The following is a 17176-nucleotide window of genomic DNA, read 5'->3' as shown; positions in this document are numbered from 1 at the left end:
AAGCAGCAGCCTTCTTTCCCATGATGATCAAGATTATTCAGGACCAGTCATCCCAGTCAACATCATGACCTTCTTTATTTTTTTTTTTGCCTGTGGTATAAGAGCCCAAAATGACCAGCAGTGGAAACATTGTTTTGTCTTCTTATAGAAGCAGTTATCTCTTGGATCCCCAAATGCCAAGTCAGCAGAGCCCCAAGTCATGGAGAGGAGAAGCAATAATTTGATGAGTAACAAACACATTAGACTTAATCATGAAAGATACTATCCCATTTCCACCCCATTGTTTCCATACCTGTACATTCTAATTACAGGAGAAGCCACACATACGCATACATTGGTTCATGATTCAGAACATATAATATATCCTGCATGCCAGTGCCCCAACCTCATGAGGTGTTGTCCCAATTGGAGGCACAGCTGGCTCTTCAGCAGGGCATTCTGCTATTCTCTAAGGCAAGCTGCCAGACTAGGCATGGTGGGAGCATGTGTTACTTATATTCAGACAGCTTATTGTATCTTCAGCTATGGCTGGAGCCTCATTCTGTATTTTATACCTCTTATAGCTCATGTTAAAATGTTGCATAGAATGCCCAACTTCATAGCTAGGTAGCTGAGACAACTCACAGTGGGCAGTTTTGATCTTAGCACTTGGACTCCCCCAGATCCCCAGAGCAAGGCTAGAGCAGTTTTCCAAAATGAAAATAATCACTTGCTTATGAGGCAGCGGCTTTGCTCCATTACTTTAGGGGCCTCCACTGCAATTCCTATTGAGGACTGTCACAGATTTCCTATCGCATTCACAATTGCCACTCATTTATGGAACACCATTGGATCCACGGGCTCATAAATGCTAAGGGAAGGAGCTTCCTATGTACTTCTGCATTATTTCAAGAAACTTCTGGCACCTCAACTTAGTGTGTTCCATTGTCAAGTGAACACCAGGTGGTTCTGGGTTTTGGTTAACCAGCTGAGCAAATTGTTAGAACTATTCCCTGCTGCTAGTATAATGAGTCCAAAATCATAAGGACATCCGCATCAGTAAATTCAGTCCCAAACTAAAACTATGTTCCTCCTCATTTGGTGGGCAGACACAGAATCCAGTTCTGCTATAAATGGGCAATATCCCTATATTTATTTTTGTGTGTAAAGCTTTTCCTAGGTTTGACTTGAACTTATATCTCTAAAAGCTTACTGGGATTTGTCTTTAGTTAGAGAGGATTGTCTTCCTCTTACAAGGAAAGGGGATAGATATGTTTTCGAACAAGGGAGAGACAGCTTCATCAGATAAGGGAGGAGAGAGAGACTTCTTCAGTGGGTAATGAAAGTGGAAGTGAATGTTGAGGCTAAACACAGGAGGGTAGTTGAAATAACAGCCCCTTCTACCCAAGTCCTAGCACAGACAGCACAGAATATTTTTCTAAAAAGAATAGAACACAAAGTCTGGAGGCAGCTAGTGTGATGTCGGCACCTCACCTAAAGCCCTCCTCATTCTGGAATTTGAGAACTTCATTGTAAAGTAAGATTCCTGCACTTTACCCAAAGCAATATAGGCCTCCCATGTACAGGGTCCTCAGTGAGATGTCTTCTTTTCTATTTTCACAATATGAGTAGAAAGCCAAAGATCACCAGACATTGAGAAAGGTCTATAGCATACAACTGGAAAATCAAAATTAAAAAAAAAAAGAAAGAAAAAAATCTGACACCAGAGACAATTCAGGAAATAGGTTAGAAACAACAAATAATTCATATTCTCAAAGATACAGCTTTTTTTAATTTAAAAAAGAATTATAATATTGTGAAACTAACAAAGAACAAGAAATAATTCTTGATAATTAAAAACATGATTGCTGATTTTAGGAAGATGATGGTAGCATAGTTTTTTTAAAGCAGCTTTATTGAGGTATACTTGGTATAAAATCATCTGCACATGTTTAAAGTATATAATTTATAAGCTTTGACATATGTATATACCCATGAAACCATCACAATCAAGATTATGAACATACAGTCACCTCCAAAAGCTTGCTCCAAAAGTTTGTAATTCCTTTTTTTTTTTTATTCCTCTGCCTCCCTGCCTGGTAACCAATGATATTCAAATGAAATGATATAGTATTACTATTTTGTCTGGCTTATTTCACTGAGTATAATTACTTTGAGATTCATCCATATCATGACATGTGTCAGTAGTTAATTCCTTTTCATCGCTTAGTAGTATTCCATTGTACGGTTATACCACAGTTTATGCATTCACCTGTGGATGCACATTTTGATTGTTTTCATTTTTTGACCATTACAAATAAAGCTGCTATGAATGTTTGAGAACAAGTCTTTATGGGCATATGTTTCCTTTCTCTTGGATAAATTCCTAGCAGTGGAATGGCTGAATCATATGGCAGGTTTATGCTCAATTTTTTTTTTCTTTAAGAAACTTCCAAATTGTTTTCCAAAGCAGTTTTACCATTTTTACATTCCCATCAACAGTGCATGAGAGTTCTAACTTTTCTACATCCTCACCAATACTTGGTATGGACAGTATTACAAAAAACTTTTTGGGACAGGGTATCACTCTGTTGCCTAGGCTGGATTGCAGTGGTGCGATTATGACTCACTGCAGCCTGGACACCTAGGCTCAAGTGATCCTCTGCCTCAGCCTCCTGAATAGCTGGGACTACATGCACCACCATGCCTGGCTAATTAAAAAAATTATTTTTTATAAAGACAGGGTCTCACTATGTTGCCCAAAGCGGTCTCCAATTCCTGGGCTCAAGCAGTCCTCCCTCCTTGGCTTCCCAAAGTGCTAGGATTATAGAGGTGAGCCATTACATCCGGGTACTATTTTTAATGGTTTAAAGCAACTTTATTGAGTTGTTATATAACTTACATACCACAAAATCCACCCATTTAAAATATACAGTTCAGTGACTTTTTAGCATCACAGAGTTGAGCAATCAACCTGACTATCTAATTTTAGAATTTTAGAAAAGGCCTCATCCCCATTAGCACTCACTTCCTACTCTGCCCTCTCCCTGACTCCATCTCCCATTCTAGGCAATCTCTAATCTGCTTTCTGTCTCTAGATCTGCCTATTCTGATTTCATGTAAGCTGCATCATACAATATGTGGTCTTTTGTGCCTGGCTTCTCTCATGTAGCATACTGTTTTCAAGGCTCATCCATGTTATTGCATGTATCAATACTTCATTCCCGTTTTAAACATTTTTTAAATTTTGAAATAATTATAGATTCACAGAAAATTGCAAAGATAGTACAGAGAGGTCTGGTGTACCCTTCATCCAGTTTCCCCCAGTGGTTACATCTTACATACTTACAGTACAGTGTCAAAACCAGGAATTTGACATTGGTAAAAAATAAAATGGTGTGCACCATTTTATCACATGTATAGATTCATATAACCACCACTGCACTCAACATACAGAACTATTCTATCACCATAACGCTCTTCCTCATTACTGCCCTGCTCAACATCCCTAAGCCCTAGCAACACTAATCTGATTTTCATCTCTATAGTTTTGTCATTTCAAGAAGGTTATATAAATGGAATCACACAATGTGTGAGATTGGCATAATGAATTTCCCCTAGTGTTCAAATAAAGACAGAATAGATAGTGAAACCAAAACCATGTAGATGATACTTTTAAGAAAACTAGGTGACAAACCCAGAAAATATCAGGGAGTGGGCCAGAACAACAGCCCCAAACCTACACAGTATCAGCACCTGTGTGAGAGGAAGCAGAGGAAAGATGGTGTGCCTGGGGGACCTGAGAAAATGAGAAACACAAAATGTTCCCAAAAAAGTATTACTGGAAAGTGAACTAGGGCATTCTGAGAACAGCCACAGAAACCAGGAGGAGTTCTGCTCACTCCACTAGCTGGCAAGTGTAAGGCCATCCTCAGAAAAGTCTGAGAAGGCTGTGAAAGTACAGCACCTTATTCTCATGAGACTGACCTCCCAGGACTTCCACATTGAAGAGAAACTGAGCAGGACAGGGACAATATCAGGACCAAAGGAAACAAGGAAGGGCAAAACAAAATTTGGAGGGTCAGGGAGATACAGCCAGGAAATCCCAGAAGGTAAGCTGCCATTTGTTTGAACAGTACACAAAAACAGAAGAAAGAACTCTGTGAGGTTGGAAAACCTCATCTGAACTATACTGCCTTCTAAAAGTTCAGAGAAACAAATCTCAGATAAAAATGAGCAGCAGAGGCTGGGTGCAGTGGCCCACGCCTATAATCTCAGTGCTTTGGGAGGCCGAGGCAGGAAAATCACCTGAGGCCAGGAGTTCAAGACCAGCCTGGGCAACATAGCAAGGCGGTGTCTCTACCAAAGAAAAAAAAAAATCAGCTGGGCGTGGTTGCGTGCACCTGTAGCCCCAACTACTTAGGAGGCCTAGGTGGGAGGATTGCTTGAGGCCAGGAGTTTCAGACTACATTGAGCCATGATCTTGCCACTACATTTCAGTCTGGGAGCCTGGGTGACAGAACAAGACTCTGTCTCAAAAAAAGAAAAAAATGCAACAGAAAGTATCCAGATCGATCCGATACAAAATTATTATAATCAAAATGGAATAATATGTAGAATAACATGCCTACAACTAATGAACACACGCCAGGATGAGCCTATACAATAGATCAAAACTGTAACTTGTTACTTTAAAACAAGCTAAAAGACATTCAAATAAAATAATACATGGGTTGAAAAAAACCCTAAATCAGAATTAGAAAAACAGCATGGGTGACAAAATTCAGAAAATAATTAGAAATAAAAGATCGTTTCATAAATGAAAACCAAATTAAAAGAAAGACAAGTAGAATAAACACAACACATGATGCCTTAAGGTGAAAAGAAAGAAGATTTGCAAATAAAAAAAAAGATAAAAAAGGATTTGAGAGAAAATAGCCAATATTGAAGATACCTCCTCTTGAAAATAAAGAGGAGCCAACATATATGTAATGAGAGTCCCAGGGTTTAAAAAAAATCAGAGATTATAACAAATACTAAAAACTATAATTCAACAAAAGCTTTCTGATTTAAAAAAAAATGATTTAAAGCTACATATTGAAAAAGACTTCTCCATCCTCCTCTTGTGCCTCTTCCAACACATGTTCTGTGCTGCATGTTGCTGAATGTTCTGAAATTCTACGATCATGCTTTATTATTATGCCTCTCTGCCATTGCTCAACTCAGTCCTATGCCTAAAATGTCTTTCACCATTTCTTCACTTGGTGCCCTACAATGTATTCTTCAAAACTCAATTCCAACATCACTTTCTCTACGATGCATTACCTGAGTCCTCTGTCCCCACCCCATACCCAGTTCTGGGTTACATGCCCTCTTCTCTGCTTTTATAACACTGTGTAAGTATGTTTTCAGAGCTGTGTCTATCATATCTTCACATATAAAACTGTAATTATGTGCTTATTGACTGTGTCCAGTCCCTCTCCCTGACTGTAAGTATTCCAGGTCACAAACCTATCTTTTTTTTTAATCCTCTTTATCTGGCACAATATTTAGTGACCTGTCACTGTAAAATGAGCAAAAGATAATGAATTTTGTATAAGTTACTATTAGAAAGGTAAAATAGCTGGACTCTCCCATTTGTTATGGTTTAAGGAGGTTTGAGAAGAGAACATCATCCTATTACATTTACATGGCCACTATAATTATATCAGAAACATTTTTGCCCTAATCTAGCAAATAATTATGACAACATTTTATCAGAAAAAAAGTATTAAATAAAAACATGAAATTGTGATAATATATTCTCAATGATGATAGAGGAAAATGTAAGCATAAGCCAAAAGAATGGATTTTTTAAATTTTTAGTTTTTCCGTAAGTTATTGGGGTACAGGTGGTATTTGATTACATGAGTAAGTTCTTTAGTGGTGATTGGTGAGATTTTGGTGCACCCATCACCCAAGAACGATACACTGCACCATATTTGTAGTCTTTTATCCTTTGCCTCCCTCCCGCTCTTCCCCCCAAGTCCCCACAGTCCATTGTATCATTCTTATACCTTTGCATCCTCATAGCTTAGCTCCCACATATCAGTAAGAAGATACAATGTTTGATTTTCCATTCCTGAGTTACTTCACTTAGAATAATAGTCTCCAGTCTCATCCAGGTCACTGCAAATGCTGTTAATTCATTCCTTTTTATGGCTGAGTAGTAGTCCATCATATATATACCACAATTTCTTTATCCACTCATTGATTGATGGGCATTTGGGTTGGTTCCACAATTTTGCAATTGTGAATTGTGCTGCTATAAACATGTGCGTGCAAGTATCTTTTTCATATAATGACTTCTTTTCCTCTGGGTAGATACCCAGTAGTGGGATTGCTCAATCAAATGGTAGCTCTACTTTTAGTTATTTAAGGAATCTCCACACTGTTTTCCATAGTGACTGTACTAGTTTACATTCCCATCAGCAGTGTAGAAGTGTTCCCTGATCACTGCATCCATGCCAACATCTACTGTTTTTTTTTTATTTTTTGATTATGGCCATTCTTGCAGGAGTAAGATGGTATCACATTGTGGTTCTGATTTGCATTTCGCTGATCATTAGTGATGCTGAGCATTTTTTCAGATGTTCATTGGCCATTTGTATATCTTCTTTTGAGAATTGTCTATTCATGTCCTTAGCCCACTTTTTGATGGGCTTGTTTGTTTTTTTCTTGTTAATTTGTTTGAGCTTGTTGTACATTCTGGATATTAGTCCTTTGTCAGATGTATAGATTGTGAAGGTTTTCTCCCGCTCTGTGGGTTGTCTTTTTACACTGCTGACTGTTCCTTTTGCCGTGCAAAACTCTTTAGTTTAATTAAGTCTGAACTATTTATATTTGTTTTTATTGCATTTGCTTTTGGGTTCTTGATCATGCAGTCCTTGCCTGAGCCAATGTCTAGAGGGGTTTTTCCACTATTATCTTCTAGAATTTTTACAGTTTCAGGTCTTAGATTTAAGTCTTTAATCCATCTTGAGTTGATTTTTGTGTAAGGTGAGAGATGAGGATCCAGTTTCATTCTCCTACATGTGGCTAGCCAATTATCCCAGCACCATTTGTTGAAAAGGGTGTCCTTTCCCCATTTTTGTTTGTTTTGTCAAAGATCAGTTGGCTGTAAGTATTTGGGTTTATTTATAGGTTCTCAATTCGGTTCCATTGGCCTGTATGCCTATTTTAATACCAGTACCATGCTGTTTTGGTGACTATGGCCTTACAGTATAGTTTGAAATCAGGTGGTATGATGCCTCCAGATTTGTTCTTTTTGCTTAGTCTTGCTTCGGCTATGCAGGCTCTTTCTTGGTTCCATATGAATTTTAGAAATATTTGGCATTGGTGTTTCTTTTCTTTCTTTTACTTTTTTTTTTTTTTTTTTTTTTTTTGGAGACAAGGTCTCACTTTGTCACCCAGGCTAGAGTCCGGTGGCACAATTATAGCTCACTGCAATCTCAAACTCCTGGGCTCAAGCAATCCTCCAGCCTCAGCCTCTCAAGTAGCTGGGGACTACAGGCATGTGCCACCACACTTAGCTAACGTTTGTATTTTTTGTAGAGACAGGATCTCCCTATGTTGCCCAGGGTGGTCTCAAGCTCCTGGCCTCAAACATTAGGAGTACAGATACAAGCCACCTTGCCCAGCCTGACACTGGTGTTTCAAAGGCTTTCACCCTCTGTGTTTGGATCTCTACCTTCCAACACTTAAAAAGGGGCTAGAGAGCCAGAGACAACATGGAAGAGCCTCTTCCTGTTCATAGTGGTCCATATTTAAAATGGCTGAAAGACTCTCATGTCTCATATTTTTTTAATCTTGAGTCCCTTTGTCTAATACATCCTTTAACAAAGAGGAATTAGAGACATTTGCAGTCATTTTGGTCTAAACTAGCTGATAGAGCAGGCAAATCCGTTGTCTGTGGTTATTTCCATAAAAAATGGCACACTAGGATAAACACGCCAAGAGTCTGGGGAACCTGGAGAGACCAGTTTGTACTCCAGAATGACACAGTAACATTTAGTTGGCAAGAATTTGTGTTTATTGCCACAGAAAAAAATGGTTACTCCTCAGCAAGGCTGGAATCAGTTAAAAGAATACAAACAAAGTTACACTTTTTTGTGTGCCTGAGTTATAACTGCAAGTTTTCTTTAAAACTGTCCCTTTCTTTTCTCTAGTATTCTTCCTGGTCATGTACAATAATTCACTAAAGGTATTCCTAATGGGAATAATCAATTATGACTGAGAGCTGTTTTCTCTATCATTGGTGTCAGCTTAGTGTTCATATTCTCACACTGTAGTGGTGCTCTTTTCTCTAACATTTGTTCATACTGTTCTAATGTTCTGACCAATGATACAGCTTCATGACACCTCCCCAAGGGCTGTCTCCTTTTGCCCTGTGCTTCATCTTATGTTATCGCTACACTCACTTAATTTTGTACCCCTTCTCCAAGATTTATAAAAATGGTAAATATGATTGTTTGCATTGATTCCTAGGAAACCCCACTGAAACATCTCCCTTGAAAGAAGTATCCATTTACCCCTGTGCCTTCAGCCTGAATTTGCTCTCCCCTAATTTGAGTAAAATAACTCTTAGAGTTTGTGATTTCCCTAAAAAGTTAAGCATAAAATTTGACCTAGCAATTCTACTCCTAACTATATTCCAAAAAGAATTTAAAATAGATGCTCATATCTTTGTAAACAAATGTTCGTAATGGAACTATTCACAATAGCCAAAATGTAGAAATAACCCAAATGTCCACTAATGGATAAATGGATAAACAATTTATGGTATGTGCATGCGGTGAAATATTATTCAGCCATAAAAAGGAATGAAGGGGTCAGGCACGGTGGCTCATGCCTGTAATCCCAGCGTTTTGGGAGGCCAAAGCTGGTGGATCACTTGAGCTCAGGAGTTCGAGATCAGCCTGGGTAACATGATAAAAACCTGTCTCTACAAAAAATACAAAAATTAGCCATGTGTGGTGCCACACACGCATAGTCCCAGCTACTGGGGAGGCTGAGGTGGGAGGATCACTTGAGCCTGGGAGGCAGAGGTTGCAGTGAGCTGACATTGTGCCACTGTACTCCAGCCTGATGACAGAGTGAAAACTCTGTCTCAAAAAAAAAAAAAAAAAAAAGGAATGAAGTACTGATACATGCTACAGTGTGGATGAACCTTCAAAGCATAATGCTAAGTGAAGCTAGACACAAAATTGTATTAGTCCATTTATTTGAAATATCCAGAATAGATAAATTCGTAGAAAGCTTGGGGGTTGCAAGGGGCTATTGGTAGGGAGCAATGAGGAGTAGCTGCTTAGAGATTGCAGGATTTATTCTGGAATGATGAAGTGTTTTGGAACTGGAGAGAGGTGGTGGCTGCACAGCATTGTGAATGTACTAAATGACACTTAATTGTTCACATTATTTATTATTTATTTATTTTTTTTGAGACAGAGTCTCGCTCTGTCACCCAGGCTGGAGTGCAGTGGCACAATCTTGGCACACAGCAACCTCCACCTCCCAGGTTCAAGCGATTCTCCTGCCTCAGCCTTACAAGTAGCTGGGACTACAGGCGCCTGCCGCCAAGCCCAGCTAATTTCTGTATTTTCGGTAGAGACAGGGTTTCATCATGTTGGCCAGGCTGGTCTGGAACTCCTGACCTCAAGTGATCCGCCCACCTCGACCTCCCAGCGTGCTGGGATCACAGGTGTGAGCCACTGCACCTGGTCTGTATTGTTCACATTAAAATGGTTAATTTTAGGGTCTCACTCTGTCATCCAGGCTGGACTGTAGTGGTGCAAGCATGGTTCATTCCAGCCTGGACTCAGGCTCAAGCAATTCTCCTGCCTCAGCCTCCCTAGAAGCTGGGACTACAGTTATGCACCACCATCCCTGGCTATATTTTATTTATTTTTTATTTTTTGTAGAGACAAGGTCTCACTATGTTGCGGTCACTGGCCTCAAACTCCTGGGCTCAAGCAGTCCTCCTGCCTTGGCCTCCCAAAGTGCTGGCATTATAGGTGTGAGCCACTGCACCTGGCAATATGTAGATCTGTTCTTATCATAGATCTTAGCAACCTCAGCATACAATTTTTCTTTCTTATTAAGTTGTGAACTTTCAACTTTTCACTTAAAGGAATCACTTTATGGCATCTCTTTGGCATATCTGAATTATCAGTATTACTACTTTTGCTCTTTGGGACCAGTATTACATAAAATAAGGATGACTTGAACACAAGCACTGAAATACAGTGATGTAATGATACAGTTGTTCGACTGGAAAACCCAAGGAACCAATTTGAAAACTACTATAAATAATACTATAAATAATAAGAGACTTTAGTCAGGTGACTGATTACAAAATTAATATTTAGGAATCAATAGATTAATAGAAAAAGTCTTACTTACAATAGTAACCAAAAAGATAAATTTCTAGGAACAAGTTTAACCCAAGAAATGTGCAGTTTTCTGAGTGACATAACAGAAGATTTGAACAAATGGAAAAGTGTACCTATTGTGTCTTCTGGGTTTGATTTTTATTTTTCAAAAATAATACTAAATATTTTGGTGAGGATTTGAAGTAAAAGGCACTTGGCAAAATATGGTAAGATGTGATTTGGTGTACACCTCCCTAAGGTCAGGTTGGCAGTATTTGTCAGTGTGTAAAACATACATGCTACATTTTGTGTAACAAAGGAAGGAATAAGAATATATAATAGTGTTTGTTTGTTTTTATTTGCATAAGTGATGCAGGGCGGTTTCTTGGCTTCGCCCAGGAAGGAATTCAAGTTCAAGAGCTAGCCGATGGTAGCAGACAGCTTTATTGAAGCTGTGGCAGGGTTATAGCTCCATGACTGCTCCTGCAGAGCAGGGCTACCCCACAGGCAGTGTGCTGAGAGCAGCAGCTCAGTGACAGTTCTGCATTCACAGTTATACCCACTTTAAAGTACATGCAAATTAAGGGGTGAGTTGTTCAGAAATTTGTAGGAAAAGGGTGATAACTTCTGGGTGCTACCATGGCAATGGTAAACTGACATGTCAATGGCACTGGTGGGCATGTCTTATGAAGAGGTGCTTTTTTAAAAAAATTCTTTTGAGACAAGGTCTGGCTCTGTTGCCCAGGCTGGAGAGCAATGGTGCTATCTCAGCTCGCTGCAAACTCCACCTCCCAAGCTCAAGCAATCCTCACACCTCAGCCTCCCGGTTAGCTGGGACTACAGGCGGGTGCCACCACACCTGGCTAATTTTTTGTACATTTTGTAGAGACGAGATTTTACCATGTTGTCTAGGCTGATCTCAAACTCCTTGGCTCAAACCATCCACCCACATTGGCCTCCCAAAGTGCTGGGACTGCAAGAGTGAGCCACTGTGCCTGGCCTGGAGAGGTGCTTTCACCTCTTCCCTGTTTCAGCCAGTCTTCAATGTGGCCTGTAGTAAAGTCCCACCTCCTACCCCATAAGGAAGCTTAGGAAGTCTTCACAATAAAATAATAGGTAAGGTGTAGATGGAAATGGGATATAGGGGGGCCAAAAAAAAAAAAAAAAACCCTACCAGAACTAATAAGTGAATTTGAAAAATCTGTCAATTCAAAAGATGATAAATATTGTATTGTTATTATAATTAGTTAATAATCTTTGACATTTAAAGCCACCCACTATAATCCCCAACACTGTGAGAGAGTTGAGACACTGCAAGACCAGCAGGTTTTAGCTTCACCTTCTCAGTCATACTTAGAAGGCACAATATCCTTCTGCAGACCCAAGGTCTTTCTCTCCACTGCACTCCCCAGGTAACTTGTGTGCCGTGATAGCACAGCCAATACTTTGGAGACTTGAGCAAATGGTGGAGGGAAATGCCAATCAATAATATTGATGATAAATGTTTACCAGATGTCTGATCAATCAATAATGAAGCAAAACAGAAACAGGAACAAAATGAAACAAAAATTAAGGTAGGGGCAGTGCATTGCCTGTTATTGCGTGACTGGTGGCCAGTTATGAGACCTCTCCTCTCACACCCCACCGTGTTCAGCTGCAATTATGCTTTAAATGTTTACTCTCTCTGACAATTTCCTTTAGTTAATATTGATGATTTGGGTTTGTTGTTTTCCTAATTATTCTTTTCAAGGCTAAAGTCAAGCATATTTACACTACGCTTCTCTATGTATATTTACAAGAAGCACTTTCTCAGACTGAAGCAGCCTGTCTTCAAAGAAATAACCACACACCACGCATACCTCCAATTGTTCTTCCTGAAGCGTGTTTTATTCTGTGTTTTTCTCTCTCTAGCATATCTCCTCTGAATTTTATTCTTGTGCCATAGGCCTTATAGCATTGCTCTGTTGTGTGTTGAATTGAAATCCTAAACCCTGTGGCTGTGACTTTATTTGGAAATAGGATCCTTGGAGACATGATCAAGTTAAGGTGAGGTCACACTGGAATAGGGTGGGCCCTAAATCCAATGACTGGTGTTCTTATAAGGAGAAGGAGATTTAAAGACACACACACACAGAGGGAAGACAGCCATGTGCAGACAGACAGAGATTGGAGTGATGCAGCTATAAACCACGAAATGCCAAGAATTTCCAGCAACCACCAGAAGCTAGGAAAGGGCAAGGAAGAATTCTTCCTCCCTTAGAGCCTTCAGAAGGAGCACAACTCTGCTGACATTTGACTTCAGAGTTCTGGCCTCCAGAACTGTGAGAGAATGCATTTCTATTGTTTCAGGCCATCCAGTTTGTAGGAATTTGTTATAGCAGCCGTAGGAAACTCATACTCACTCTTCACCTCAGCTTATCTAAATTAAACATGTCAGACAGAAACACTATGAATGATTTGGTGGGTTATCTTTATAAGAAGCATGCTTAGGCCGGGTGTGGTGGCTCATGCCTGTAATCCCAGCACTTTGGGAAGCTAAGGCAGGCAGATCGCTTGAGCTCAGGAGTTCAAGACCAGCCTAGGCAACATGGCAAAACTCTTGTCTCTACAAAAAATACAAAAATTAGCTGGGCATGGAGGCACACACCTGTAGTCCCAGCTACTCAGGAGGCTTGGGTGGGAGGATCACTTGAGCCTGGGAGGCAGAGGTTGTAGTGAGCTGAGATGGAGCCAGTATACTCCAGCCTGGGTGACAGAGCGAGAGACCCTGTCTCAAAAAAAAAAAAAAGCATACTTAATCAGAACCTGCAGTTATTTACAAAATCAATTACCTAACAAGTCTATCAAATACATTTCTTTCTTTCTTTTTTTTTTTTTTTTTTTGTGACAGAGTCTCGCTCTGTCGTCCAGGCTGGAGTGCAGTGTACGTTTCTTACAAATATTGTTTTAAATGAAATAAAAGTGTGATCGTTAAAGCCATTCAGAACTCAAATTACTATGCCTATTACTAATTCCATTTGGAACTCCATTACAGAAAGAAAAGGCAAATGGGAAGAAACTAGTTAAATTTTCTTTGATACAAGAGATGTTGTCCGTTTAAATTATCTAACAGAGAGCCAAGTGTAGTGGCTCATGCTTGTAATCCCAGCACTTTGGGAGGCCAAGGTGAGAGGATTGCGTTAAGTCCAGGAGTTCAAGACCAGCCTGCGCAACATAGTAAGACCCTGTTTCTACGAAACTAAAAAAATTAGCCAGGCATGGGGGCACACACCTGTAGTCCCAGCTACTCAAGAGGCTGAGGTGGGAGGAGGGTTGCTTGAGCCTGGGAGGTTGAGGCTGCAATGAGCCGTGACTGTGCCATGCACTCCAGCCTGGGTGACAGAGTAAAACTCTATCTTAAAAATAAAAAATAAATAAACTCTGTAACAGAAACCTTTTGTTGTAGAAGTTTCCTGGCTGGGCGTGGTGGCTCACACCTGTAATCCTAGCATTTTGGGAGGCAGAGGCGAGAGGATTGCTTGAGGCCAAGAGTTCAGCCCAACCTGGCCAATATAGTAAGATCCTGTCTCATTAAAAGAAAAGAAAAAAAAAAAAAAAGAAGTTTCCTTACTAAGGCTGCAAGAAAAATCAGTGAAGAAGCTATTAATTGACAAGTGAGCACTTCATATAAATTTGGGCCAAACAGGCTGGAATTGAAGTTTGGGAAGTGTTTGCTCATTTATCTCCTGAGGTTGGTTCAGGAAATCGGCAACTACTACCTCCATATCATTTGCTCTCCTTCCTTTTAGAACTCCATGGCAATGTTTTGAGGATTAAAGAGGAGAGTGATGACTATCCAAACGTCAGAGAACGCAACTATGAGACTAGAGACACTGGAAAACTAAAAAAGTAACGGGCCTTTGCTGACTCAGGGAGATGATTTCCCAAGAGGGAAGAAAACTGGAACCTGAGAAATAAGTGATTTAGTAATGTGGCTGCTAAAATACGGAAAAACTAGAATGAATGGCTTACACATTTTTGAAATGAAGTTAGAAGAGGGTTATACTGTGAAGAAGAATGAAAAAGCCAAACATTTCATTCAGGTAAGCATATCACATAGGAGAAACTCTAGGTGACTTTGGTTTGGCAGTGAGTTTTTAGATACAACACCAAAGCACAATCCATAAAAGAAAAGAAAGATAGATAAGTTGGACTTCATTAAAATGAAAAACTTCTGCTCTGCAAAGACACTGTTAAGAGAATGAAAACACATGCCACAGACTATGAGAAAATATGTGCAAAACACCTATCTGATAAAGGAAGTATGTCTGAAATACAAAGAACTCTTAAAACTCAGCAATAAGAAAATGAACAACCTGATTAAAATATGGGCAAAAGAGCTGAATGGAAACCTCCCCAAAGAATATATGTAGATGGCAAATGAACATATGAAAAGATTCTCAACACAATATGTCACTAGAAAATTGCAAATTAAAACAAGATACCAGTATACACTTATTAGATGAGCTAAAATCCAAAATACTAAGAACAGCAAATGCTGATGAGGTTGTGGAGCAACAGGAGCTCTCATTCATTGCTGGTGGGAATGCAAAATGATGCAGCCACTTGGAAGACAGTCTGGCAGTTTCTTAAAGATTAAACAAAGGCTTACCAGACACTCCAGCAATTGCACTCTGTGTATGTGTGTGTATTTATATATGTGTGTGTATATGTGTGTGTGTATTTATATGTGTGTATTTGTGTGTGTGTGTGTATACAGGTATCCACAGGGGATTGGTTCCGGAAAGCTCCATGGATACCAAAATCTGAGGATGCTCAAGTTTCTTACATAAAATGGTGTGAGATTTGCATATAATCTATGCACATCCTCCTGTATACTTTATTTTTTATTGTATGTACTTATTTTTTGAGACGGGTTCTCAGTTTGTCACCCAGGCTGGAATGCAGTGGTGTGATCACAGCTCACTGCAGCCTTAACCTCTGGGACTTAAGCAATTCTCCCAGCTCAGCCTCCTGAGTAGCTGGGACCACAAGCATGCACCACTACACGTGGCTAATGTTATTTTTTGTAGAAATGGAAGTCTCACTGTGTTGCCCAGGCTAGGCTTCTGTATACTTTAAGTCATTTCTAGATCACTTATAATACCTAATACAATATATAAATGTTATGTAAATAGATGTTATACTGTATTTTTAAATTTTGTATTTTTTTAATTGTTCTATTGTTATTTTTTATTGTTTATTGTTTTGTTTATTGTTGTTTATTTTGTTTATTGTGTTGTTTATTGTTTTATTGTTGTTTATTGTTTATTGTTTTTATTGTTGTTTGGAATATTTTTGATCCCAGTTGGTTGAATCCATGGATGTGGAACCCATAGATATGGCGGGCCAACTATATTTATTATTTAGATCAAGATATATTTCAATATATAAATTTAAAAATCTTTTCTGAAATAAAAGAAGATTGACTCTTCTTTTCAAGTCAAAGAACATACCATGTGCCAGGCAAAATTGATTCAAACGTATCTTCGTAAAACTATTGGACAAGGGATCTTCTCTTGCTACCTGAATAAATAGTGTGAAAAATATGGTTGTTGAAGAGACAAAGTAATAGTATCTGTCAATTCATTTTGATAAACTTCAGTTTTGTAAGAGATTATATATATTTTGTATATATTTTGCATTATTTGTATATATGCATATTTTATATTATATATTTTATATATGTGTGTGTGTTTATATGTATGTGTGTATATATATATTTGACTCTTTATATCCATGGGTTCATCTAATTACCTCTGCTTCTATTTAACATTGTACTGGGCTGTTTTGTAGTGATGTTCAGGGAATACAATCAGGACAGTGCAGTTCTGCTCTGTAGAGGAGTTTCATGGGTGGATGTTGAAGAGCCTCAAGTCACCTTCCCAACCCTCCTACCAATATAGCTTCTCCCTGACTGGTTGAGATGAAGACTTAACCTGAAGATTGGTTTGATGTTACTGGTTTTCTGGTGCCCAGGTTATATGGTTTGGCTGTGTCCCCACCCAAATCTCATCTTGAATTGTAGTTATCATAATCCCCACATGTCGTGGGAAGGACCTGGTGGGAAGTAATTGAATCATGGAAGTGGTTTCTCCCATGCTGTTCTTGTGATAGTGAGTAAGTTCTCATGGGATCTTATGGTTTTATAAGGAGCTTCCCCCTTCACTCAGCTCTCATTCTTCTCCTTCCTGCCACTGTGTGGAGAAGGACATGTTTGCTTCCCCTTCTACCACGATTGTCAGTTTCCTGAGGCCTCCCCAGCCGTGCTGAACTGTGAGTCAATTAAGCCTTTCTCCTTTATAAATTACCCAGTCTCAGGTATGTCTTTATTAGCAGCATAAGAACGGACTAATGCACCAGGGCTCTCTTAGTGTTTGTTCTTCCCCATCACACCCTTCACATCTTTCTCTCTCTGTCCTGTCTTTCACACACACACATACACACACACACACCCTTTAGCTCATTACTGTAATACTGTCGCTTCTGTCCTTCCCCAGTGTTCCTTATTGGACAGAGGAGCTAGGGGATATGAGTTCACAGACCAAACTAAGATATCTGAGTAACACAACCACTTCAAAATAAAAAAATAAAAAAAATCATGGCCAGATGATGGATAACATCAGAAAGAGATGCGTTAGAACAGATGAACCAAGAGTTTAGAATAAGCATAATAAATATATTAAAATATGTAAGTGAGGATATTAGCAACATGATAATAATGAAATACATTGTATATGTACAATTCC

The 17176-nt window shown here is 39.2% G+C and overlaps 1 long non-coding RNA gene across 2 annotated transcripts in view, besides 1 other annotated feature; it reads left to right on the top strand.

The window, feature by feature from the left end:
- BRPF3-AS1 (BRPF3 antisense RNA 1) overlaps positions 1-17176 on the top strand; it is a 50512-nt gene that overhangs the window by 24086 nt on the left and 9250 nt on the right. The window contains exon 3 of one of the 2 annotated variants that reach the window (NR_187146.1): positions 14177-15880. The exons of the other annotated variant lie outside the window; for it this stretch is intronic. This is a non-coding gene — a long non-coding RNA (BRPF3 antisense RNA 1). Of the gene's footprint in view, positions 1-14176; positions 15881-17176 lie in introns of those variants that run through there. 2 annotated transcript variants of the gene reach the window in all.
- Positions 12699-12899: a silencer, noted in NCBI's record as "peak5782 fragment used in MPRA reporter construct". NCBI's record gives its function as "represses an SCP1 promoter by STARR-seq MPRAs in K562 erythroleukemia cells {active_cell/tissue: K562}" and the evidence as "EXISTENCE:reporter gene assay evidence [ECO:0000049][PMID:32103011]".

This window comes from Homo sapiens, chromosome 6 (genome assembly GCF_000001405.40).
Source record: "Homo sapiens chromosome 6, GRCh38.p14 Primary Assembly".
Lineage (NCBI taxonomy): Eukaryota > Metazoa > Chordata > Mammalia > Primates > Hominidae > Homo > Homo sapiens.
Note: the sequence above shows the minus strand (reverse complement) of the source record. Positions and strands in the feature narration are given on the sequence as shown.